The sequence below is a fragment of the Homo sapiens genome, chromosome 6, assembly GCF_000001405.40.
Source record: "Homo sapiens chromosome 6, GRCh38.p14 Primary Assembly".
Lineage (NCBI taxonomy): Eukaryota > Metazoa > Chordata > Mammalia > Primates > Hominidae > Homo > Homo sapiens.
The window spans coordinates 150,710,838-150,737,670 of NC_000006.12; the positions used below are offsets into that span (position 1 = coordinate 150,710,838).

At 42.2% G+C, this 26,833-nt stretch overlaps 1 protein-coding gene across 10 annotated transcripts in view, besides 2 other annotated features; it reads left to right on the plus strand.

The window, feature by feature from the left end:
* Window positions 1–26,833, plus strand: part of PLEKHG1 (pleckstrin homology and RhoGEF domain containing G1) — a 243,781-nt gene that overhangs the window by 110,953 nt on the left and 105,995 nt on the right. For 6 of the 10 annotated variants that reach the window (NM_001329804.2, NM_001029884.3, NM_001329805.2 and 3 more), the window contains one exon: window positions 22,747–23,255. In NM_001329804.2, the coding sequence (NP_001316733.1) occupies window positions 22,845–23,255 (411 nt within the window). In that variant the 5' untranslated portion in view covers window positions 22,747–22,844. Of the gene's footprint in view, window positions 1–10,261; window positions 10,364–22,746; window positions 23,256–26,833 lie in introns of those variants that run through there. The other 4 variants (NM_001329801.2, NM_001329806.2, NM_001329802.2 and 1 more) reach the window with 1 other exon arrangement.
* Window positions 5,968–6,743: an enhancer, noted in NCBI's record as "H3K27ac-H3K4me1 hESC enhancer chr6:151037941-151038716 (GRCh37/hg19 assembly coordinates)". NCBI's record gives its function as "activates a minimal SCP1, AML or CMV promoter by ChIP-STARR-seq in naive H9 embryonic stem cells {active_cell/tissue: H9 hESC(naive)}" and the evidence as "EXISTENCE:reporter gene assay evidence [ECO:0000049][PMID:30033119]".
* Window positions 6,744–7,519: an enhancer, noted in NCBI's record as "H3K4me1 hESC enhancer chr6:151038717-151039492 (GRCh37/hg19 assembly coordinates)". NCBI's record gives its function as "activates a minimal SCP1, AML or CMV promoter by ChIP-STARR-seq in naive H9 embryonic stem cells {active_cell/tissue: H9 hESC(naive)}" and the evidence as "EXISTENCE:reporter gene assay evidence [ECO:0000049][PMID:30033119]".

The following is a 26,833-nucleotide window of genomic DNA, read 5'->3' on the forward strand; positions in this document are numbered from 1 at the left end:
TCCACACATCCCTCCCTCAGGGAAACCTTCCCAGACCACCCCAAACTAGGCCTGGTCCCCTTTACACGTTTCCATAGTGCCTGTGCCTTCCCAGCCCAGTGTGCACGTCACACAGTCATCAGTCACCTGTTCAGATGATCCTTCAGTGTGTCTGCCTGGCCAAACTCTGTGCCTTTTGAGGACGCAGCGATGTTGATGTACCTGAAAGTCTGACTTGGGAGGAGTGGGGAGAATATTTATTTCCCAGAGGATGTTCTCCAAAAATGATGTCTTTTTAACGTTTTTTAATAGTAAGTTGGCATGAGGACTTAAAATTCTGAAGCCACTTTGGTGGAAGCAGTAGGAAAGTATGTTCTTGACATACAAGGAGAAGGTGATCATAGGGTGGTGACAGTGTTAAGTCCGCTCTACCCTATGCGCCCCACAGCCACAAGGGGCAGCTCTCCCCTTTGACCTCCCTGCACCGCTCCCCATCACTGAACCCTGCCTCCAGGAATCCCTTCAGTTAGGTATTCCATCAGTAGTTGAACAAAGATGCAAATAAATATGGGAAACTGATAGGACAGCTCAAATAATTAAGGAACTACAAAATGGAGGTGAGGTGTGATTTCTCTTGTATTTTCCTAAAGGGGTCTTTAAAGAACTCCAGGGTATGATCGATGATTTGTGCAGGGATGGGATGTCTGGTAACTAACAGTATCTAAGCAGACACTGGACACACTTGGTGAGATGTTGTAAGTGTTAATTGAAACACTGGATTAGAAAGCCCCAGAGTATCTTTGCAATGTTGACATGCTGTTATCATAGGATTATTTTTAGTCCATGCAGCTCCCCCTAGAAAATAAGTGTCATAAAGGCAGGGGTGTTTATCTGTTTTGTTCACTCTTGTGTCTTTAGTGCCCAAGACAGTGCCTGGAACATAGTAGCTGCTCAATAAATATTAAGTAATTGAATATATCAGCAGATATCAAATTCACAATATTTTTCTGGTATAAGATAGGCTCTAATTAAGTGTTTATTTCATTGACCTGGATCAAGCAGGCCATAAGTCAAAACGGGGCTACAATTTGGCATTGTATCACCGTGTAAAAAACTCAGGCCAGTATTCTGACTGCATATGAAGTCAAACTGCTATCACCATTTTAGACCAATGATTCTGGAGTTAGTGTGACATTGCATCAGCCGGGGACCTGGCAAGAAACTGAATTAGCTCAGCTGGTTCAAACGAAGGGTGTATGTGAAGCAAAGAGAGACGACAACAGTGGGAAGCCTTAGCCACTGCTTTTGGGACAATCTATAGGGATCCCTGAGGGATCGGGGACAACATAGAGTTAAGGGAGCGCAAGAAAGGCTGGAACCATGGAGGAGCTGCCCCAAATCAATGAGGGAGTGGAGGAAATGCCCCTATTTCCCTCTCTTTCTGCTTCAAACTATTGATGCCTCTAGCCAAACCTACCTGGAAGGCAGCCAGGCAGGGAGCGGAGTGTGCAGACCTTTAGACAAAGCAAGACTGGGAAAGATTGGGCTGGGGGTGTGGCAGGAACAAGACCTGCCATGTAAATTCATTCTGTTCTTCTTATATTTTAACCACACAAATAATACATATTCATTAAAGAAAATGTAGAGATCAAACCACCAGTCTTCATATTTTAGCTTCTTCCTCTTCCTTTTTCTCTTCTTTCATTTACTTGTAAAGGATTCAGTAATGTTTATTCAGAATAAACAGAAATAAGTTTGGTTACACTTGTTTCTTGACCTAATTCCCATTCAACCTGCAGTGGAACAGAGCTCTCTTTCCTTTCCTTTGTTCTGTTAACATAAACAAGTTACTTCATGTACCTCTGTGGGAACTGGGAATTAGGCAAGTGTTTAGACTCTCAAAAACTTTCAGCAAGTTTGGCTGTCAGCTTGGATACCAAGTAATTAAACATAAGATGAAAGATGAGTCCGACTGGGCTTATTCTCTAAGATTAGAAAGTGAACCATAAGTGAAGGCAGCCTAATGTAGCTTGATTTTACTGTCAACATAAAGTTGCTATCCACTTTTAATTTTAATTGAAGGACAGTTTGAAACTAAGGGGAAAGAGAATTTAGGAAAATAGTGCAAATGCTTATGTACACAATTGTTGGTAGTTTACATCGGCAACGTCCCACGCTGCTTCACAGCACTCATCATACTTGTCATTTTTTGTTTGAAACTTAAAGCCCATGTCCATTCACTGCGCCCAGCATGGGGCCTGATCAGTAGGTCCTGGTACATGAGGGCGAGTAAGAGGTGATTGCCAGTTCAAGTGGAGAGAAGGTTTTGTGAAGGAAGAAAGATCAGCAGGATGTTGCTCTGTGCCTCGAAGTTCAGAACTTTGTGGCAACAGAGGGGTATTTAAGGCCATTGTAATACTGATATACTAAGGTCAGTGGCCTTCATTGCCTTCTTTAGTTGAAAAAAAAAATCCTGGAAAGTAGTAAGTCATCTCAACTCATTTAGAGAGAAGTGAGTTCTGATTTCCTGGGGTGGAATCTATATTTGGCCTTTATAAATATCTCCGTCAATGGGATTGTTCCCATGACTTGGTACAGGAGACCAAGTGAATATCAGTGCAAACCACCCACGTCAGTTCTAGAAAGCATATGGGCTCCCCTGAGATAAATCATTTGCTCACAGGTCTTACTTCTTAGAGGTTAAGCTGTCAACCTTATGATGTTGAACGTAGCCTTAGGAGTGGGGGAAGAAGACTGATTGTGATGACCCCAAGGATGGTAATTGCTGAGGGTCAGGTGTGGGAGTTTGAGCCAGTTCGGAGATTGATTCCTGTTTGCTCCCAGAAGCTTCTCTGTGTCTCCCCTGCAAGCTACACTCCCTCCTCTGCTGCTCTTGAGAATTGTCTCTCAACCTACTACCCCTGGGTCTATGGGAAGGGGTGGGGGGCAGTTGGCAAGGTGGAGCTGAGCCCTCTCCTTCATTCCATTGCAGCTGTGGGTTTGTGTCCAGAAAAGAGGAGGAAAGGCTAGCAACTGGAGTTTGCCTCTCTCCTCTGCCAGGATGAGAAATTCCTTTGCAAGCCTCCGTAAAGGTGATTTAAGTCTCAATGGCTGTTACTCTGAAACTATAAGAGAATCTTGTTTTAATTGGTATTTTGGAAAATACGTACTGCTGTAAGATTTCAACAGAGCTCCCAAGCCTTTTCTTCCAGTACATTTTTTAGAGTGTTTCAAAAGTATAGATTGTGTTGAATGCCTTTACTTATGAATGGATTAGATGTGTGTTATCTCCTGGAGAAAAATGTGTCTGGAAGCCTACTGCATTCTTCCAGGGATAATTAGTTCATTGTGCTGAGCACAGCCAGTCCTCCGATGGTGTCCTTAGAGATGGGACTGATAGATTATCGAAAGCAAGAGGCTTTTTGCAACATATTTGCTTGCTTGATATCTAAAAATTGTTCAAAAATAACTAAGACTTGACTGTATTGTCTCTGGGAAATAAAAACCAAGTATCCTAATCAAAGAAAGGAGTGACAAATTGAGCTAATGATTGTCACAGAAGCAGAAAAATGAACCCAGGGAGGAATGCTTGAAACAGCAAGATTTTAGAGTCTGGAACGTGTGCCCTTCAAGGCCATCTCAGTTCATGTCATGGCCGACTGTTGAAAGGTATACGATGGAGATGTCAAATCATAACTTGGTTGCAAGGGAAAGGCAGGCCATGCACAACAGTGTGGTGAATAATAGGCTTTGTTTGTTCATTTGTTTTCTAAAATTCTTAGGACCATGCCTCAATACTGACATTTAGTTCAGTAGGGGCTGAGAAACTACATTTTCAGTTGGATGACTGAAGTCCTGGTAACTATTTAGTATTTCTAGTTTGGTTTCTATTGTTAGATTCAGTACCCCAGGACTAACGAAAAATGGCTTCATTTAATTTCTTCTATACTTGAGTGCTTTTGTCTGCTTTAGACCTATGTCTTTTGCTGACAGAATTTTTTTCTTTTTTTTTGAGACAGTCTCACTCTGTCGCCCAGGCTGGAGTGCAGTGGTGCCATCTCAGCTCACTGCAACCTCCACCTCCCAGGTTCAAGTGATTCTCGTGCCTCAGCCTCCCAAGTAGCTGGGACTACAGGCGTGCACCACCATTGCCCAGCTAATTTTTTGTGTTTTTAGTAGAGACTGTTGGCCAGGCTGGTCTCGAACTCCTGGCCCCAAATGATCCACCCACCTCAGCCTCCCAAAGTGGTAGAATTACAGGCATGAGCCACCATGCCTGGCCTACTGACAGGTATTTTTTAAATTTGTGAAAACAAACTCACTTGCCACTAAAATTATTTCACTTTGAAAAAAGGCCTTTAGAAATAATTTTTTTTAAAAAAAGAAGTTAGCTTTTTTGTTTGTTTGAACAAGTATGTAATTTGGTTTGTATAACAATAGCAAGGTGGAATTTGTAGTTGGTGATATTTTCCGGGTTTAGAGTAGACAGTCTGGAAGAATGTGTATAGATTTTTAATAAATCACAGCAGCTGCAATGCAGAATGGTGTTAGTACGTTAGCTCTTATTTACAGGAGGAAGGTCAGCGTGTTCTTCTGAGGGACTTCAGTGCGGAAGTGTGACACCTTTTGGCGTGCAATTGACTTTAACGTTCATCACTATTTTTTTTCTTTTTCTTTTTTTTTTTTTTTGAGACGGAATCTTGCTCTGTGGCCCAGGCTGGAGTGCAGTGGCATGATCTCGGCTCACTGCAACTTCTGCCGCCTGAGTTCAAGTGATTCTCCTGCCTCAGTCTCCCGAGTAACTGGGATTACAGGCATGCGCCACCACGCCCAGCTAATTGTTTTGTATTTTTAGGAGAGACAGGGTTTTGCCATGTAGGCTGGTCTCGAACTCCTGACCTCAGGTGATCCACCTGCTCAGCCTCCCAAAGTGCTGGGATTACAGGCGTGAGCCACCATGCCTGGCCCCTCACATTTATGCTGTCATGTGCTCATAGAAAATGTGGCCGCGGCCGGGCGCGGTGGCTCACGCCTGTAATCCCAGCACTTTGGGAGGCAGAGGCGGGCGGATCACGAGGTCAGGAGATCGAGACCATCCTGGCTAACACGGTGAAACCCCGTCTCTACTAAAAATACAAAAAATTAGCCGGGCGTGGTGGCGGGCGCCTGTAGTCCCAGCTACTCGGGAGGCTGAGGCAGGAGAATGGCGTGAACCCGGGAGGCGGAGCTTGCAGTGAGCCGAGATCGCGCCACTGCACTCCAGCCTGGGCGACAGAGCGAGACTCCGTCTCAAAAAAAAAAAAAAAGAAAAGAAAATGTGACCGCATGCCTTGTTCTTTCAAAGAAAAAACTTCTAATAGACTAAAAATACATTAAGAGTCTTTTGTCAATGGCCTGTGCTTCCAAAAATGGTTGGTTTTGCCATTTTCCATGAAAAATGTTCCACAATGGCAAGATCTTAAATTACAAGATAAGTAGGCCACACCTCCTCCAGGGTTTAAATTGTTACGCTCCTTGTGTAAAATACTATTTGTGTTTTCAAATACCCCTTCTCACTTCTAGCACCTTTGCATATGAAAGTCTAAGATTATTTTCTAAACCTGCCTTATCCAATGTTGATTATATGAAGCAAAATATTTCCTTGAACCCAAAAATGTCTGCATGCCTTTGCCCATCCGTCTTCCTGTCTCTGGGCCGCCCTTTCCTTCTTCCTTGCCCAGCTTTTTGAGCTGTTGCCTGGCTGCACAGTTCAGCAAGGTGCCTCAACTAGCTCAGGCCTTGCTGAGTCCCTAGATGTGTGTGTTGTCTGTGCTTCCTGCCCTCATCCCCACCCCAGCCCTCCTAGACAGCCCCATTGTGGTCTCATTCCCAGAAAACCTGGATAGTTCCTTGGAAGGATGGTGAAGCTAATTCACACTACTGTGGCAGTGGCTCCTTCGCCCTTCCCAGAGGAGATCAGGGTTTTAACTGACAACTTTTACCTTAAACCAAAAAGATTTGGAATTCCAGGCCCTATGGCAGACTTCTGGGAAGGGATTTTTTTGTTTTTGTTTGAGACAGGCTCTTGCTCTGTCACCCAGGCTGGAGTGCGGTGGTGCGATCCTAGCTCACTGCAGTCTCAAACTCCTGGGCTCAAGCCATGCTCCGACCTCAGCCTCCCAAGTAACTAGTACTATGGACATACACCACCCTGCCCAGCTAAGTTTTGTATTCATTTATTGATTTATGTTTTTAAGACAGACTCTTACTCTGTTGCCCAGGCTGGAGTGCAGTGGTGCAGTTTTGGCTCACTGCAGCCTCTGCCTTCCAGGTTCAAATGATTCCCCTGCCTCAGCCTCCCAAATAGCTGGAACTACAGACATGTGCCACCACGCCTGGCTAATTTTTGTATTTTTTTTTTTTTAGTAGATTCTGAGTTTTACCATGTTGGGTAGGCTGGTCTTGAACTTCTGACCTCAAGTAATCCGCCCACCTCAGCCTCCCAAAGTGCTGGGATTACAGGCATGAGCCACCACACCTGGCCTAAATTTTGTCTTTTTTGTAGAGATGGAGTCTCGTTAAGTTGCTCACTCTGGTCTCGAACTTCTGGCCTCAAGTGATCCTTCCTTCCATCTCAGCCTCCCAAAGTGCTGGAATTACAGACATGACCCACCACGCCCGGCCTGGGAAGGGATTTTTTTAAGTGGCAGGGACTTTCTGGTCTTCCTTCAATTAGGCCAGAAGGCCACCTGCACCTCCTTGCTGGCTGGTTTGTGTTCTGGTTGCTATAGTTACGTCCTGTGGGTGCTGCTCTTCTGCGCCTTGATTCCCCACTCCAGGTGGGGACACTGGGAATGGAATGCGAACTTCCTGGTTGTGTAACCCGTGCTTGCAGGGAGTAAACAAAGCTGCTTTCCAGCAAGGGTATCTTTATCACCTAACAAGGCACGCGTGTGCATTTTATCTGTGGCCACTCTATCATTTAAAAAGACATTTTGGGCTAGGCACAGTGGCTCACACCTGTAATCCCAGCACTTTGGGAGGCCGAGGAGGGCAGATCACCTGAGATCAGGAGTTGGAGACCCGCCTCGACAATATGGGGAAACCCTGTCTGTACTAAAAATACAAAAAAATTAGCTGGGTGTGGTGGTGCACACCTGTAGTCCCAGCTACTCAGGAGGCTGAGGTGGCAGGATCGCTTGAACCTGGGAGGCAGAGGTTGCAGTAGGCCGAGATAGTGACACTGCATCCAGGCTGGGTGACAGAGCGAGATTCTGTCTCAAAAAAATAAATTAATTAGATAAAAAATTAAATGTTGCTGAGCAAAAATAATCTTTTCACCCAGTGTTAGTATGGGCAAATAAATTATACAGCAAAAAGTGGCAAGGATACCAGCATCTGTGCCTTTTGTGTGTCTTAAGATTGTTCATTTTCCCTGCATGAACAAAAGCCTGGTGGCAAACCAGCAGCGCACCTCCAAGAAATGTTAACGGTTCAGTGTGTCCAGCATGTGGAATATGTGGTGGGGAGCACTGGAACGCAGAACCACTGCAGAGCTAAATGGGGAGAAACCAGGGTCTTAAGAAAATACTGAAGTGTAGAAGGCGCCTCTGCTCTCAGGTGTGAAAGAACCTGGACCATTGCTCAATAAATGGAGGTGTTTCTTCCCTTTACTTTTTTTTTTTTTTTTTTGAGACAGAGTGTCACTCTGTCACCCAGACTGGAGTGCAGAGGCACGATCTCGGCTCACTACAACCTCCACCTCCCTGGTTCAAGTGATTCTCCTGCCTCAGCCTCCCGAGTAGCTGGGATTATAGGCATGCACCACCACGTCTGGCTAATTTTTGTGTTTTTAGTAGAGACGAGGTTTCATCATGTTGGTCAGGCTAGTCTCGAACTTCTGACCTCGTGATCCACCTGCCTTGGCTTCCCAAAGTGCTGGGATTATAGGCGTAAGCCACCGCGCCTGGCCTTTCTTCCCTTTTCTTTTCCTTCCTGCTAGTATGTGAATGTATTATCCCTCCCCAGGCCTCATGCGCTATCCATTGGTTAATTTATTCAAGCAAATACTTGGTACTAGGATCAATATAAAGGCAAAAAAAAAAAAATGTGTTTGTGTGTGTGTGTATTCCCTGCTCTGAAAAAGCTTAATATTTAAAAAATGAAATTCAACATACTTTAAATCTTTGATATTTGTAGATGCAGTTTAGGTGCTTTCACTTATTTGCAAGTTATAGGAGAGGTCTTTACTTACACAAGTTGATGATTTTGCTAAAGCAGAAACCGCGGATGAACTAATAAATGACTGTCCCATAGGACCCAATATGGCCCCCGCTGTCACTTCAAAGCTGTCCTTCAGGACTGTCACTTTTCTGGTGGGTAAGCTTAGCAAACTGCCCACCATCCACACACACAGCAACTTTGCTGTCTTTGTTTACGTTTAACATACATGGAATCTCTCAGAAATAGCACTTTAGAAACATGTTTCTTGGCAAAAAGCAAAAAAAAAAATCCAAGTACAATGTAATTTTATTGGAAGTTAAAAGTAGCTGTGTTGTGATCTGAGGCTGTGCACGATGGATGAGTCATTAGGAAGCCTAGAACCTCTGTGTATTTTATCCCATCTAAGAGTTTAGAGCTTTGTGTCTGCCTCGAGAATATCAAATCTATGGTATAGGAAGGTTCCCTGCCCCCAACAGCTACCATGCAGGGTAGGAGTGAGACACTTAGAAAACGATTAAATATGAGACCACATGATCCTTACTCTAAGTGTAATAAACAGCTGTTAAAGTAATGGAAAGAGCTGTGGGTTGGAGTGGTTGTAGCAGATCAAACGGGAGCTTGATGTGAGCTGGCTCTTCGTTGAGCAGGAGGGAAGAGCCCAGCTTAGGCACTGGTATGGGAGACACAGACATGATGTGGGAAGCCACAGGGGTTGCTGTGGAGGCCAGAATAGAGGATGAAGAGTCTCCACAGCCCAGGGAGGACCCTGCCTCTCAAACTGCCTTCTCAGCATGCTGGATTTACTGATTTCCATCAAACTGGTGAATTTTGTGAGAAATTCCAACAAGTTGTCTTCTGAACTATTTCCTTTAAAAATCACTTATTTAAATAGCCATGTGTAGGTTCAGCCTGATTTGAAAGGAAATCAGCATTAAAACAAATTATCCTATTATGTTGTTAGTTTAAAATCACTTAATAGGCATGACAGAAATAGCTATGTTAAGAATGATCTGCTAGTGGTGTTTTCCATAACCACAAATGAATGCTTTAAATGGAACTTCTATTTAAAGGGTTTTCATCCTTTGAAATAGTTCAGTTTTAGATGTCTATGCAAAGACATAATCCATATTTTGAATTTGAGTTCCACAGTGCAGTGGTATCAGTTTTCAATAGCATTTTTGTGCTTCTGGAGACCTTCGTTTAAAGAACTCAAGATCTTTGTCAAATATACGCCTTCTGAATCTTTCTATAAAAATAGATATAGCATTTTAAGAAGGACTGGTGGTCTTAGAGAAATCAAAAACCCAAAATAATTGGAAGGTCTCACTTACTAAAGTATTGTATGAATACTAGATCATTCTGTCTTTACTACTTAGTATTTATGAATATATAATCACAGAACTTAACTGTTCTCCAAAGAAATGCATGTACATACCAATTTTAGGTATTTGTCTTCAGATACGCTTTTTAAATGTTTTTTAAATGTCAGCCTTAAATGTTTTCTCCTTAAACTTTGTTCACCTAAAATTCTATCAAGTGTCTTGTTAACAGAAACTAATTATCCAAACTGCCTTCCACTGGCTGTTATTCACACCCCACCCCCACCCCAACCTGCATTTTAAAACTTCAGTTTAAAGATGTGTCCGTTTACTTTGAAAGTGAAAAGATGTGTCCCTTTACTTTGAAACAAGCCCATGATTCAGGAAGTGAACTTAAAAATTTCAGAGCTCCAAAGATCTTGCTTATTTTATGGAGTTTAATGAGAACTGTGGCCAGAGCCAGGAAGGTGAAACCCAGCAGCTTTGGGCGAGTGTGGGTTGTATTTGATGTTCACAAAAGAATGGAAGTGGTAGGGTGTTGCTCAGTGAAGTGTGCATTTTCGAGTTACCCACAGTGGTGTCTATTGTCCTGTTTCTCAATTGAATGATGTCATGTTTCATTTAAGGCTCTTAGTGATGCTGAAGTCTGTGGTCTGCACACTAGGGGGAAAAAGGCAGTGAGAAAGTTGCAAATCAGGTTTTTGTAAAGCCTTTGTGTGTTGGGTTTGGGAGATAAAAGCTGACTCATGCAATATTTCTACGGAAGGCGCTGCACAGACTAGCAAAGGCTGTTTCTTTTACCTGACTGAGGTCACTGCATCAGCTGAAGGCAGACGATGTGCTTAAGCCTGAGTGGAGCAGAGGTAGGTGCTAATGTGAGTGTCCCCAAAGAAAGGATGCAGGAACAAACGCTCCTTCCCTCTGGGAGCAGCCAGAGAGGTCCACCGAGGTGAGAAGGGGTCGCAGGGGGGGCTTTCTTCACAAGTGTGCAGGGACGGAAGCTTGGCTGGATCAAGGAAAACTCTCTGTTACAAATGCGATAGACTGAAGTCTGGAAGATGATTTTTTTCTCCCCCTCCATCTGAACTGCAGCCTGTCTTCAATAGTTTTTGTCTTAGTTTCATCTGATTTTGCTCTTTCCTTAAAGTGAGGTTGAAATATCTAGAGAGCTGATGTATCTGACTCTGGGGAGAACTCTAAAATCCTCAGTTGTCACGCGCCGAATGCCCAACATTTTCATATGCTTTCTTTTTGAGGTTCATATGCAGTCAAAGTTGGAGGAACAAAATAAATGTTTGCAAATGTATGCTTAGCAACTGCAGTGATGAAGTTTAGTCTGAGTCTAGTGGCAACCAAAGTTGCCTAAGAAAATGCAGTTTCCATTTTGAGTGTTTCTCGGTAAGAAACACTTTTGTGAGGAACAATGATTGGGGCAAAGGAGGCGTGGATTGTATTCAATGCCGTTGTCCATTGGAATCTGATTTCATTTGGCTTCATTATTTGAATTTAATGATGCATTTTGAAAGATATTTATATTCAGCATTCCTTAATCACATATTGAATATAAAAATTATTTTAATTTAAAATATTTAGATATCTGACACCAATTGACATTGTGATTTTAATTTCCTTAAATAACTTTTTCAGATTATAAAAGTAATACAGCTATTGAAGAAGAGATATTTACAGAGAAATATGAAAGGAACAAAATTATTCGTTTTACTCAGTAAAACCGATGTTAACATTTTATTATATATTCCTTCAATCTATTTCTAATGTAGACAATAAAGAAGCCGCATTTTAAATTCAAAATTAGGATCGTATTATATGTTTTTTAAACTACCCATTTTACTCACTGTATATTATGACCATTTTCTATACTTTTAAAGATTTGAGAAGACGTGACATTTAATCATTTTACATTGTACCTTCTAAATGGCTTTATTTACTTGGATCTCTGTTACTAGTCACTTTAATTTCTCTGCCTCCTTTTCTTTTTTCTTTTTCTTTTCTTTTTTTTTTTTTTTTTTTTTTGAGACTGAGTCTCGCTCTGTCACCCAGGCTGGAGTGCAGTGGCACGATCTTGGCTCACTGCAACCTCCACTTCCTGGGTTCAAGCGATTCTCCTGCCATAGTTTCCTGAGTAGCTGGGATTACAGGCACGCGCCACCATGCCCGGCTAATTTTTGTATTTTTAGTAGAGACAGGGTTTCACCATGTTAGCCAGGCTGGTCTCAAACTCCTGACCTTGTGATCCGCCCGCCTTGGGCTCCCAAAGTGCTGGGATTACAGGCGTGAGCCACTGCGCCCTGCCTCTTCCTCCTTTTTTAAAAGAACATGTCTAATGTACTTCATGGATTTATTTGTTTGGAGTGCTATTGTTAGTCACTTGGAATTTGCCTCTTCTTCCTCCTCCTTTTTCTTTAAGAAAATGTTATTTCTCTTGGTGCCTCCCTCCCAGCTGTGCAGGGATGTTTTGGAACTGAGTGCGTTCCATACAGATGGAGCTTGTATATATAACCATCACTGTTTAGTTACTGCCTTGAGACTGATAATTTTACACTAACAGGAAGGTACTGTTCAAAGCAAAGCTGGAGCATAGATTATTATTTAATCTAAATTACAAATAGAGATTTTTTTAGCCTTTGAAAAACTCGGTGATACACAGTTTTTCATCATCCAAGACCTGGCATTCGTAGGATGTAGAAGAAACTGCTATTAGAGGGCCACTGCTTGTGCTGTGCCTCCAGCTGGGAAGAGGCCGTGCAGTCGTGACAGCCAGTGGTTTGCTGGGTTTTCAGGATTGGAGTCATGGCCCAAAGATTGGATGAGACTTGGAGAAGTCACCTAGTCCAGCTGCCTCACATACAAGGAAACCAGAGATGCAAAGATCAGTACAAACCCCGGGGGGTGCAGAGCCAGGGCAAACATGCAAATCCTCTGACCAAAAGGGAGTATTAGGACATAATTTAATTTCCGGTTGGTTCTCTGAAATGTGTTTATACAGAGGGTTGTGGATATATGCATTCCTGTGCACACATAGCCACACACTGTGTAGTCCCTTTTGGCATATGGTACCATGTGCTTTAGACAAGCAGCTTATGTTGAGTCCTTCATTTCCTGATCTCTAAGTTCCTTTTCTACCCTACTATTTTATGAGTACAAGGAAGGATGGACTAGAAGTTAGAAAATCTAGTCTCTGATTCATAGTTCAACTTTGAGCATGATGTTATATAATCTCTGCTTTTTTTTCCCCATCTATACAGTTTTCAAAAAGTAATGAGACACATGAAAGAGCATTGAGGTTGGTTTTGGGGGCTTTTTAAGGATAATTTTGACATAGAATTGTAGCAGCTGTATCATAATAAGGCTCACCTGTTATAATAGAGACTGTTTGGGTTCTCTCTTATTGCTTAACCAATCACACTGGAACCTAATGGCTTGAAACAACAAACATTTATAATAGCTCAAGGGTTCTGTGAGGCAAGAATTCAGGAAAGGCTGTGCTAGGTGATTCTGGCTTGGGGACCGTCATAAAATTGTACTCAGACATGACAGGGCTGGGGTCATCTGAAAGGCTTCTCATCCACATGTCCAATGTCTTGGCTGGAAACACAGCAGGGGCTGTAACAGCCAGGGTTCCTTGGGCATCCCTCTGTGTATCACTGCGGTCTCATCATGTGGTTTCTGTGGTGTGGCAGAGTCAGGATAACCAGACTTTTAAATGTGGTGCCTCAGGGCATGTCTAGCACCAGTGACTGCAAGGTTTTGCCTGTCTTTGTGCTCTGCCATACCCTAGGGCACTGGTATCCTTCTTAGAGTGGAGGCAAGGTTTCTGCCACATCTGGGTTCCAGCATGAAGAGGAAAGAATGTGGAGTAATAAAATCTAATGTCTTGAGAAATAGACTCCCAAAGGGGCATATATCGTTTCTACTGGTGAGAACTTGACCACATGGCCAATATCTAAAGGCAGAGGAGGCTGGGAAATGTGCTCAGTGAAAACTCCATCACTAAAGAAAAGGGTAGAGTGGATTTTGGTAGACAACTAACAGTCCCTCTCTGAGTGGTAACACAGTGGATGGTTCTGGGTGCCCCAAATAATTTCCTTCATCCCCCACACTAAGTCACCACACACAAAAAAAGCATACAACAAAAGTAAAAACAGCTGCATTTGCATAAAAAGCCTTTAGAGAATTTCTTTCTTTTCTTTTTTCTTTTTCTTTTTTTTTTTTTTTTTTTGAGATGGAGTTTCAGTCTGTCACCCAGGCTGGAGTGAAGTGGTGTGATCTCGGCTCACTGCAACCTCCACTCCCCAGGTTCAAGTGATTCTCCTGCCTCAGCCTCCCAAGTAGCTGGGATTACATGCACCTGCCACTACGCCTGGCTAATTTTTGTATTTTTAGTAGAGACGGGGGTTTCATCATGTTGGCCAGGCTGGTCTCAAACTCCTGACCTCAGGTGATTCACCTGCCTCTGCCTTCCAAAGTGCCAGGATTATAGGCATGGGCCACCGCGCCTGGCCTAGGGAATTTCTTTAGGTTCTTTTTCACCAGACTGCTCCAGAGACACCCCTTAGCTAAGGCAATTTATCTAATGCATTAGCTGCCTTAAGTAGATGCTTAATCCCTACTCAACTGAGGTAGCCATTATACCTCTTAGTTTCCATTGACTAGTGTCTTAGTCCATTTATGCTGCTGTAACAAAATAGCTTAAACTGGGTGACTTACAAGGAACAGAAATTGATTGCTCACAGTTCCAGAGAGTGGGAAGTCCAGGATCAAGGCGCCAACAGATTGTGTGTCTGGTGAGGGCCTGTTCCTCCTAGATGGTGCCCTCCTGTGTATCCTCACATGGCAGAAGGAGCAAACAAGCTCCCTCTGTCCTCTTTTATAAGGGCATTAATCTCATTCATGAGGGTAGAGCCCTCATGACCTAATCATCTCCCAACAGCCCCCCCTCCTAATACCATCACCTTGGTGAGTAAGTTTCAACATATGAATTTTGAGAAGGGCACAGACATTCATACCATAGCAATTAATATAGGAATCAATCGGTAAATTATCTGAGTATTTAGTATCTGACTTTACAGCTTGAAGGAATCTTTGTTCCTCTTCGTTCAACCCCTCACCTCCTGTTTGAATGAAAATATTTTTGCAAAATATCTTTTCTCATTCTTGATCTTCTTGTACAAATATGTGCTTTAACGCCTTGTTGGATGCATGGTTTGCAAATATTTTCTCCCATTCTGTAGGTTATCTCCTTGCTCAGTTGATGATTTCCTTTGCTGTGCAGAAGCTTTCTAGTTTGATGTAGTCTCACTTGTCTGTTTTTGCTTTTTGCTGTTGTTGCCTGTGCTTTTGGTGTCACATCCAAAAAATCATTGCCAAGACCAGTGTCATGAAGCTTTTCTCCCCTATGTTTTTTTTTTCTTTTTTTTTCTTAGAGGCTTTATGGTTTCTAGTCATATTTTTAGGTCTTAATGTATTTTGAGTTTATGTTTGTGTATACTATAAGATAAGGGTTCATTTTTATTCTTTTTGCATGTGATATAAGAACATGTGGCACATACACATAATGGGAAAATTATGTGACCATAAAAAAAAGAAGGAAATCCTGCCACTTGTGACAAGATGGATGAACCTGGAGCCTATTGTGCTAAGTGAAATGAACTGGACATAGAAGGGCAAATGCCACCTGACACCACTCTTACGAAGAATGTAAAATAATCAAACTCATACAAGAAAAGACTAGAGTGGTGCTTGCCAGGGAGTGGGGAGAGGGAGAAACAGGGAGGTAATAGTGAAAGGATACAAATTTTCAGCTATGCAAGATGAGTAAGTCCAAAAAATCTGCACAGCATAGTGCCTATAGCTAACAATACTATATTGTATACTTAAAATACTGCTAAGGAGGTAGATCTTAAGTATTGTTATTGTAAAATGTTTAATAATAATAAAGAGGCATAAGAAAACTTTTGGAGGTGATGGCTATGTTCATGGTATAGATTGTGGTGATAGTTTCACATGTATACTTATCTCCAGATTCAAGTTTTATACATTAAATATGTATAACTTTTTCTATTTAATCATACCCCAATAAAATACATTTTTTAATTTAAAACATTTTTGAGCTATTTATTTTGAAAATTTTTTAAATGTATAAAAAAGTTGCAAAGATTGTGCAAAGTTCCCATATGTCTTTCATCCAGCTTCCCCTAACATTAACATCTTGTGTAATTGTAGTACCTTGTTTAAAACTTATTTAACCTTGGTTAAAGACTAATAGATTTACATGGTAAAACTAAGAAATTAACAGGGTAACAAGATTTTTTTTTCACTCCTTGGTTCCTTCATCACCAAATAACTACAAATAAATATGAAAATCATGTTCCCTGAATTTAACATGCTGAACACTAGAGAACATGAGGAATTCTAGTCCTGGCCCTACCATTAAACAGGAATCAAGTTGATAGTTTAGAAAACCAAGAAGTGAAAATCCATATTGCTGTGAGGGAATAAAAGATGCTCCTCAAATACCTAGTGTCATCTTTGAAATATATAAATGTATATTTTTTAACTTGGACTCTTAAACATTTTTTAAAGCATTAAGTCAGTTGTTTACAACGTTGAGGCTCTAACAAAACTGCGCTGTATATTAAACGAACATCACTAACTGGTAGAGTAACTATTTCTGTATACTTTAGTCTTTCTGTGGCCTCCCCTCTTTGAGTAATTCACAGGAGGTGTAATAAGGAACTACATAATTTCAGCTACTCATTGGTACTGAACACAGCACATTCTCTTGATTTCCATGGTTGTCCTGCCAAGGAACTCAGACTAGGTATTTGATGTCTAGAATAGCAATGAGCAGAATTTGGAAACCCTGATCACCCCTCAATCCCTGCTGTGAGTAGAATTTCTGTCTTGCCTCCTAAGTTTCTCCTTGGGAGTTGTAGGTTGTAGGACCCATCAGATGTCCCCGTTCTCCATGTAAATATGGTCACAGGAAGCCATGGAACGTTCTGCATGAAACCTAAATCAGCCTAAGAAACCAGAGCCAAGAAGCATTGCTTTTGATTCTGGCAGTGATATTCCAAAAGAGAGCAATTAAAATAATGGAAGTTGGAAGAGCAAAGAAGGAAAAGCCATGGAATTCCAATGTTTTCACCCAGAAAAAATTAGAGGGATTTGTCATGAAGTAAAAAGTATGAAAGTCTAGCTACATAGAAGCTGTCTAGGCATCTTTTCCTTTTATTAAGGATGGCACAAAAAAAAAAAGAATATTTTATTTGGTTGGCTTTTAGGCTAACCAGTGCTTTTCATTGTGCGACTCAGTAAGTCTCTAAGGTTCCTCTATGGATACTTCCACCCCCACCACCTCCAGGTTTACCAAAGGTGAGATTGATCACAATCCTCTAAGTGGGTGGAACCAGCTTATTTTAGGGTCAAAAGATATACCTGATATAAGCCATTCGCAAGGTTTGGCCAGAAATTCCCAGAAATTCTTACATTGTTGGCCCTGTGCTTGGGATTTTGGAATAGACAGAAGTTATGAGAAGAAAAGCAGCAACTTACCCAAATGCTAATACAACCTGCTAACATCTTTCACTCAAGGCAAGTGAAAAAGCTTTCTTGCCCTACAGATTTTTATCTGGATGTTTCAGTTTGTCAGGGAAAATCAGTTAGCCCAGTATCTGCTACACAGAGATGACCTCCCAACTCTATTTTTGCTAATTTTTAACAATATTGTGCATTAATAAGTGGAGTAAAAAACAAAAATGCAAACTTTGAGTTGTATGTATCTCTGCATTCACTATTATTTGAACAAAGATTGATAAAGAGGTAAATTTAAATCTTCAAGAATAATGTAATTATATCAAAGACTTCTAGATCAGCATTGTCTGACTAAAATATATATGAACTACTTATGTAATTTTTTATTTTCTAGTAGCAACAGTATAAAAAAGTAAAATGATGCCGGGGCAGTGGCTTACACCTATAATCTCAGCACTTTGGGAGGCCAAGATGGGAGGATCACTTGAGCCCAGGAGTTCAAGACCAGCCTGGGCAACATAGAAAGACTTCATCTCTAGAAAAATTAAAAATAAAATTAGCTTGGTATGGTGGCGTGGTCCCAGCTATTTGGGAGGCTGAGGTGGGAGGATGGCTTGAACCCAGGAGTGAGCCATGATTGTGCCACTGCACTCCAGCCTGGGTGACAGAGTGAGACCCTGTTTCAAAAAATAAAAATAAGAATAAATTTAAAATAAAAAAAGTAGGCCGGGCTCAGTGGCTCACACCTGTAATCCCAGCACTTTGGGAGGCCAAGGCGGGTAGATCACGAGGTCAGGAGTTCGAGACCAGCCTGGCCAACATGGTGAAACCCCATCTCTACTAAAAGTACAAAAATTAGCCAGGCATGGTGGCGGGCGCCTGTAATCCCAGCTACTCAGGAGGCTGAGGCAGGAGAATTGCTTGAACCCAGGAGGTGGAGGTTGCAGTGAGCCGAGATTGCACCATTGCACTCCAGCCTGGGCAACAAGAGCAAAACTCTGTCTCAAAAAAGAAAAAAAAGTAAAATGAAACCAGTGAAAATAATCTCAGTGAGATATTTAACCTAATCCAAAATATTATTTCAATACACAAATACAAAAATTATTAATGAGGTATTTTATTTCATGTTTTTAGTTTTATACTAAGTTACTGAAATCTGGTGTGTATCTTACATCTCAATTCAGACTGACTGTGTTTGTTTGTTTATTTATTTATTTAGGGTCAAGGTCTCACTTTGCCACCCAGGCTGCAGTGCAGTGGCACAATCATGGCTTACCACAGCCTTGACTCCAAGTAGCTGGGACTACAGGCACAGGCCGTCACACCTGGCTAATTTTTTGTATTTTTTGTATTTGAGATGGGGTTTTACTAGGTTGCCCAGGCTAGTCTCGAACTCCTGAGCTCAAGTGATCCGCCTGCCTCAGCCTCCCAAAGTGCTGGAATTACAGGCATGAGCCACTGTGCCCAGCCTGGCTGCGTTTCAAGTTCTCAGTAGCCACATGTGGCCACTGGTTACTGTGTGGAGCAACACAGCTCTAGAGATAAATGTTAATAATTGGTGAGTTGCATTAGAATAGGCCAGACAGGGTGGAAATCTTAAATTATTTTGAGGAAAGTGAGAACAAGACTAGACAGTTTTTATGAGGTGCATTTTCCTACGTGAGGAAACTATAATTATCTTCTAAGCAATGAATCAACATAAAAAATGTTAGCCATTAGCAAGTGTGGTCTCATATTACGTGCCATTATATGACCTGACTTTAAATGTTTCACTTCTGTCATTGGTAATTTTGGAAGGTCTTTAGTTTGGGGTGGTAAGCTTGGCTAAATGCTACGGACACCAAACTTCTGAAATGGTCTATTTTAGAAAATGCCTGGTTGGCAGCCAGGCCTGTACGTGGACTGGCATTGGAACATTTGAAGCTTTCCCCGCAGCGGTGCCCCCTCCATGTTGCTATTTAAGATCTATCCATGAAGGGGTCCCTATTGATCTGAGTTTTATATTCCACTCTTTCCCACCTTTGAAAGTATTTCTAAAGACATTGTCATTTCTAGCAGCCCAACCTAGGATCCTCTAAAAGCAGTTTTTATTCCTCTTTAATCCTTCTGTCCCAATATTGGGTATCTAATATAAAGTGAAAGTAAGTAGAGAAAAGAAATGATGATAAGAAAATAATGTGTCTCTCTGTTGTGTCCATTTTTCTCTAGTCCTGATCATCAATGTAGTGCCAAGAGTTTTGTAACTGTGTGAAAAACAGTTTTCTATTCTGGAGAGATAGATTCTTCTCCGGTTACAAAATCAGAACTTGCCCTAGAGACAGTATGTGCAGATCTGTAGGGGGTAGACCTTTCCAGATGTCTTGGCCTTTCAACTTTTTTGACACCAGGGACTGGTTTCATGGTAGACAATTTTTCAAAGGATGAAGGGTGGGTTGAGGTGGTGGGGGTGTGGGGGTGGGGGAGTGGGGATGCTTTCAGGATGAAACGGTTCCACCTCGGATCATCAGGAATTAGATTCTCATAAGGATCGTGCAACCTAGATCCCTGGCATGCATAGGTCACAATAGGGCTCGTGCTCCTATGAGAATCTAATGCTGCTGCTGATCTGAAAGGAGGCAGAGCCCAGGCAGCAATGCTCGCTTGCCCATCGCTCACTTCCTGCTGTGCTGCTTGGTTCCTGACAGGCCGTGGACCGGTACCGCACCCCTGTTATAGAGAATATCCAACTTGGCCAGAGGCAGTGGCTCACACCTATAAACCCAACACTTTGGGAGGCCGAGGTGGGTGGATCACCTGCGGTCAGGAGTTCGAGACCAGCCTGGCCAACGTGGTGAAACCCCGTCTCTACTAAAAATATAAAAATTAGCTGGGCGTGGTGGCACATGCCTATAATCCCAGCTACTAGGTAGGCTGAGGCAGGAGATCGCTTGAACCTGGGAGGCGGAGGTTGCAATGAGCTGAGATCATACCATTGCACTCCAGCCTGGGTGACAAGAGCAAACTCTGTCTCAAAAAAAAAAAAAGAACATATTCAACTTATGTTTAGTCCCAAATCATAGCCTCATTGGACCCTTGGGATCTCAAAATATCCTCAGATACTTCCCAAGTGAGTGCCCATTTCCTACAGTGAGATCAACCTGATGGTCTAGGTTATGGAGGGTGCGAATGGAAAGGAAACCTTGTTGTGTCCACCCCTACTTTGGACTGCCATGACTTTCTCAACACCAGTCCCAAACGTGAGTAAGCATCCTTTGCTGCAAGCATACCTAAATGCACGGCTGCTGATTGGATTTTTGCCGCACCCAAGTTGGATCAGGCTTTCTAGGTCAAGTGCATCTTAACTACTATAACCAATTCATGTTTTATAGGCCATAAAGTTGTTATAGAACAAGCAGAAAGAATATTGCAAAAGCTTTAAAAATGTGTGGCAAACTCTAGCATGTGGTAGTGGTTATGCAGATAAACTGCTCATTTCCTACATGTCTTACCACTCCTTCTTGACTCGGAATTAGTTCCTTCATTTTATTTTCATAACTTTAATATTTGCATCATTTGTTTGTACTAATACTTGTCATGAATATAAACTAGGTATGTTGAAGGAGAGACTTGTTGGATACTTTATATTCTAAAAATATTAGTACCAACTGTTTAGTGATCTTTATTATAGAATCAAACCAAATTTACATTACTATTGAAAAATGATCATTACTATGTATTCTTTTTACTGTGTTTGTCACATTATAACCTTCCAAACATAAGTTTCCCTCTTCCATTTTTCTAGTAAAACCTGTAAGCATGTTTTTGTGGTAAGGTAACCTAGCAAAATTAAGCAAATTTCTTTATTAATCACCTTCTCTATCACAAGACATTTTGTTTCTATAAACACAATTTCTCTATGAAATAATGAGATGTGGAATCTCGTTATTTGAGGGAGAAATGTTGACCCTGCCTTAGAAATGAGGAAGATTGGAATTTTGAGTGTTTTACCCAAATAGCTTCTGAATGTTTAATTTTCACATGGGTCCTTTTGGGGCCCAACATCATATTTAAATGCTGTGGGTATTAAGTGACTTTTTTTTTTTTTTTTTGAGACGGACTCTCTCTCTGTCGCCCAGTCTGGAGTGCAGTGGCGCGATCTCGGCTCACTGCAAGCTCCGCCTCCCGGGTTCACGCCATTCTCCTGCCTCAGCCTCCCGAGTAGCTGGGACTACAGGCACCCGCCACCACGCCTAGCTAATTTTTTTGTATTTTTTTTAGTAGAGACGAGGTTTCACCATTAAGTGACCTTTTGACTTTGCAGATAGTTTTTATTTTTGGCCTTTTCTAAACAGACAGTGCCATTTTCTCATAATTGTTCTTATAATTTAGTTCCTATATGCGTCATATAATTACATGATTTTATAACTGTACTTGTGGAGAGTTGTAGTTAATCAAGCATGCTCTCTAATAGTATCATAACTCCATATATGCCACAAATGGAATGCCAGTTTCTAAGAAGTGATCTGGAGAAGTGCTGTGTTGAGAGGATAAGTTTTCAATGGGGTGTGAGTCTTAATAATTCAGTCATGCATCACTTCAGCATGAGGGCACATTCTGAGACATGTTGTCGGGCAACTTCATCATTGTATGAACATCACAGAGTATAATCACAAACCTATATGGCATAGCCCTTTACACATCTAGGCTAGACGAGATGGCAGATTGCTCTGACCACTGTCATACATGCTGTTTGTTGTTTTGTTTTGAGATAAAGTCTTGCTCTGTCGCCCAGGCTGGAGTTCAGTGGCAGGATCTCGGCTCACTGCAACCTCTGCCTCCCGGGTTCAAGCAATTCTTGTGCGTCAGCTTCCCGAGTAGCTAATTTTTGTGTTTTTTAGTAGCGACACGGTTTTGCCATGTTGGCCAGGCTTGTCTCAAACGCCTGGCCTCAAGTGATCTGCCCACCCCAGCCTCCCAAAGTGCTGGGATTTACAGGCGTGAGCCACCACGCCCAGTCTGCAGTTCATTGTTGACTGAAACATCATTATGCTGTGTATGACTCTATCTTTTTCTTGCCTAGTATTAGAAAATTATTGTCTATGTGACACTTTCTTTAATGCTGTATGCAAGTAAAATGTAAAGTTGCCAGCATTATTTAAATCAAGTAGTGGTGGCTCCAGGATGCTAGCCTAAAATTTTGTGGAATTATGGTGAAATACTTAAAATCTAGATCAAGGTTTTTCAAAATTCCGTAGGAATCACGTCGGGTCCCTTTTAAGTTCGTTAAGAACCACTTGTGGTGCTTGTTAAAGTGATCAATTCCTGGTGCCCTGACCGCTCAGCCTTTAATTTAGTGAATCTAGACTGATTTGCATATGAGTCATTCCAGGTGGTCACACTTTTGAGACAACAGGTCTAGTGTTTCTCAAACTTTAATGCTTCTAAGTCATTCTGGGATTTTATTAAAGTGCACACTCAAGTTCAGCAGGTCGAGGTCAGAGCCCGAGACACCACATTTCTAACAGGCACCCAGATGATGCTTCAGAAACACTGATTTTGCATCTCACTCCACCACAGGTACCTTTGCATCCCTTCTGTAATTGGCCACCTTGTTATTGACTGTATTTATTTGAGCTAGGTTTTTACTTCCTTTCAACCCTCTGCTTGATAGAATTGCTTATCTTGTCCTTTTTATTTTCTTTAATGCATATAGATGGGCACCAGTTGCGTCTTGAAGTGCCATCAGCTGTAACCAAAGTTCCACATCCCAAGACGACAGCCAGGCGTTCCTGCCCTCAAGAACTGAAGACAATGGAGCTCTCTGATAGTGACCGACCCGTCAGCTTCGGTTCCACATCATCCTCGGCCTCTTCCCGCGACAGCCATGGTTCCTTCGGCAGCAGAATGACCTTAGTTTCAAATAGCCACATGGGCTTGTTTAACCAGGATAAGGAGGTAGGGGCCATAAAACTGGAGCTGATTCCTGCCAGGCCGTTTTCCAGCAGCGAGCTGCAGAGGGACAACCCCGCCACGGGGCAACAGAACGCGGATGAGGGCAGCGAAAGGCCACCCAGAGCGCAGTGGAGAGTGGACTCAAACGGGGCACCCAAGACGATCGCAGACTCGGCCACGAGCCCCAAGCTCCTCTATGTGGATAGAGTTGTTCAGGAAATTCTGGAAACCGAAAGGACTTATGTACAAGATTTAAAAAGCATCGTAGAGGTAAGACCGACTTCGCTTTTAATGTTTGCCATGCAGGAGAAATATGCTTGCAAAAGAAATGACAAAGCCAAGCCAGGTGTAGGGGATGTCTTCTAAGAGGCGGAAGGGATGTGAATGTTTAAAGAGAGAGTAATAAGAGAAACCCTAAGGCCGTAACCCACTGTGTTAACATCCTCTTAATATTTGCGTTAACAAATTAGTTATGAGTGAGGAGCAAGAATGATGATACAGTACCCATACCAAGATGCTGTGTTAATAAATCCTACACCCCAGATGTCAGAGTGACTCACACGCAGTGGGGCAGATAAGGATGGAGGAGGACTCAAGTCTCCTGGAGCATGAGTGTCAGGTGTATGACTAAACCCCTCAGCTGTCCTTACCTTAATCACCACTCGCTACTGGCATCCGGGAGCTTCCAAAACTACTGAGACGTGAATCTCATACTCAGCAACTGTGATTTCATTGGCCTGGGTGGGGCTTGGGTGGTGGAATTGTTGAAGATGCACAGGTGATTTTAATGTGCAGAGAGGTTTGCAGCCGCTGCTGTCTGCTATTCCTGTATTGGTTGGTGTTTGGGGAAAGGATTGAAAGGTAGAGAAAAGTCGTGGGCTTTGTCTTGTCTCGTGTCTCCTTTCTGTTCACTTTTACAGTGAGTAATCCTATATAAATTATTTTGCATATGTTATTATTATGATTATAAATTACTTGCACAAATTATTTCATGTGAATTGAGCTCAGCTTATGTGCCAGGTCACATCCTCTGGAAATTCAATTATTCGATTTTGATTTTCTGGGTCGTTTTAAAGGATAAAGCAAGAATTATCAGAGGAGCTCAGATGTTAACTCACTCTCAATTGTAGTTAAAAATATTACTATCTCAAGGGCAGATTTTTTTTTTTTTTTTTTTTTTTGAGACGGAGTTTAGCTCTTGTTTCCCAGGCTGGAGTGCAATGGTGCGATCTTGGCTTACCACAACCTCCGCCTCCCGGGTTCAAGCAATTCTCCTGCCTCAGCATCCTGAGTAGCTGGAATTATAGGCATGCTCCACCACACCCAGCTAATTTTGTATTTTTAGTAAAGATGGGGTTTCACCATGTTGGTCAGGCTGGTCTCGAACTCCCGACCTCAGGTGATCCTCCTGCCTCGGCCTCCCAAAGTGCTGGGATTACAGGCATGAGCCACCGTGCCTGGCCTCAAGGGCAGATTTATATATTATAAAGCTACACTTGCTTTGCTGCCTACTAATACACCAGATTCTTTCATTTGTTACTACCTGTTTCCTGTTTTAGACATTGACTCTAGAGTATGTTTCAGAGTACAGTAGAATATTGCCAATGAGCATGTTCTTCCCCCAAATACATTCTCATAGCTTTAGAAAAAGAATTCTAAAGCATGACTACGTGTGATCCGCAAATGATAGAACCAGACTGTCTACTAAAAATAGTTATGATGTACCTTCCCAGTAAAAATAGAAAAGTCAATTGATGGTCAACCGAAACAATATGTGGTACCAAATGTAGAATAAAGTAGGCCTGTTTTTTAAAAAGTTCAACAATGATGTCATTTGTACTTGAGAAGAAATACCTGTAAAACAGCCAAAAATTTTACAGCCTCTCAGGAAACATATGGTTATTAAAGCTTTCTTTGGGCTATGCTTTTTTTTCCTTTCTTTCTTGGAAACTAGTCTACCTAATCTAAAACTCACCTTATAGAGAGAAACCTTTAATTACTGAACTAGTATTCCATTAACATTTATTTTTTCCTGAGGCTGGTTGATAAACCTTAGGTGAGAAGAAACAGGTAAGAGATGAATGAAAGAAAACAGATAAAGACAGAATTTATTTTTTCTAAGAAATTTCAATGTAAGTTCTATGTGAAGCTGTCCACGTGTTCTTGCCTTTTTTCTTTATTCATGAATCAACTGTGTTTTACACTAGGGGTTGGTGAGCTTTTTCTAGGCAGGGCCAGATAGTAAATAGTTTTGGCCTTATGGGGCCTAAGGTCTTGGTCACAACTGATGAACTCTGCCACTGAAGCTCAAAAGCAGCCATGTACACTGTGAATAATGGGGCCTGGACATGCCAGTACCTCTTTAGAGTCTCGTTTGACCCAACGGCCACAGTTTGCTCACCCCTGTCTTAGGCTATAAGTTTGTGCCATGTTTCATCAACTGTCAGATGGGACTAATAAGTAGGACCTGCCTCATAGGGTTATTATGAGAATTGGATAAGATAGCATAAAAAGCTCTGCAGCCATGCCTGGCACATAGTAATCAATTAGTAAATGGAAACTACACTTGTCACTATTGCCAGCCTTCTCTAAGTTTGCTAGCTGAGAGTGATCACTGCATACACTATGTTTTACCTGAAGTCTTTCACAAAAATAATCAGATTAGGCTGAATGCGGTGGCTTATGCCTGTAATCCCAGCACTTTGGGAGGCCGAGGCGGGCGGATCACCTGAGGTCGGGAGTTCGAGACCAGCCTGGACAACATGGTGAAAGCCCATCTCTACTAAAAATACAAAAATTAGCCGGGCATGGTGGTGCATGCCTATAATCCCAGCTACTTGGGAGGCTGAGACAGGAGAATCGCTTGAACCTGGGAGGCGAAGGCTGCAGTGAGCCGAGATTGCACCGCTGCACTCCAGCCTGGGTGACAGAACAAGACTCCATCTTTAAAAAACAAAAACAAAAACAAAAAATCAGATTAGCCAATTCACTACAGCAGAAATTTAATTAGAAAAAAAAAACCTTAATGAGTGATTTTACCATTATTGTTTTGGTTATTTCTAATGAACCCACTGGAAATCTGAGATGGAAATTAGGGGAAGGAGAGGCCCAGAAGGGGGTGAGTATTGGAAAGAAGCGTGCCTGGGGAGAAAGAGTCCCAAATGAAGAGGGAGGGACCCAGGCAGGAAGAGCTAGATGCTCCTCTGTTCCAGAAGTCACTAGAATGCTTTGCATCATTTACCCTGTCCTCCTAGAAAACTTTAGAATTGTTTCATATGAGGGATTAGTTGGTTGAAGCCTCTTCATCTGTTTTGGCTATGAGACCACCTCTGTTTCTCCAGATCACAACTTTATCAGAGTGGCTAGACCACTTTTATCGAGTTCTTTTCTTAATGAAAAGTAAACAATTATTGTCAAGCCTGCAGTAACTCTACCCAATAAAAGGCTGTCATATGGGTATTTTTTTTTTTTTTTTTTTTTGAGACGGAGTCTCGCTTTGTCGCCCAGGCTGGAGTGCGGAGTGCAGTGGCGCAATCTCGGCTCACTGCAAGCTCCGCTTCCCGGGTTCACGCCATTCTCCTGCCTCAGCCTCCCGAGTAGCTGGGACTATAGGCGCCCGCCACCGCCCCCGGCTAATTTTTTTGTATTTTTAGTAGAGACGGGGTTTCACCTTGTTAGCCAGGATGGTCTCGATCTCCTGACCTCATGATCCACCCGCCTCGGCCTCCCAAAGTGCTGGGATTACAGGCGTGAGCCACCGCGCCCGGCCTGGGTATTCTTTTAAAACATAGAATATCAACTCCTTTAAAATCTGTTTCCTTGATCTATTTCTAACCTATTTGTATAAT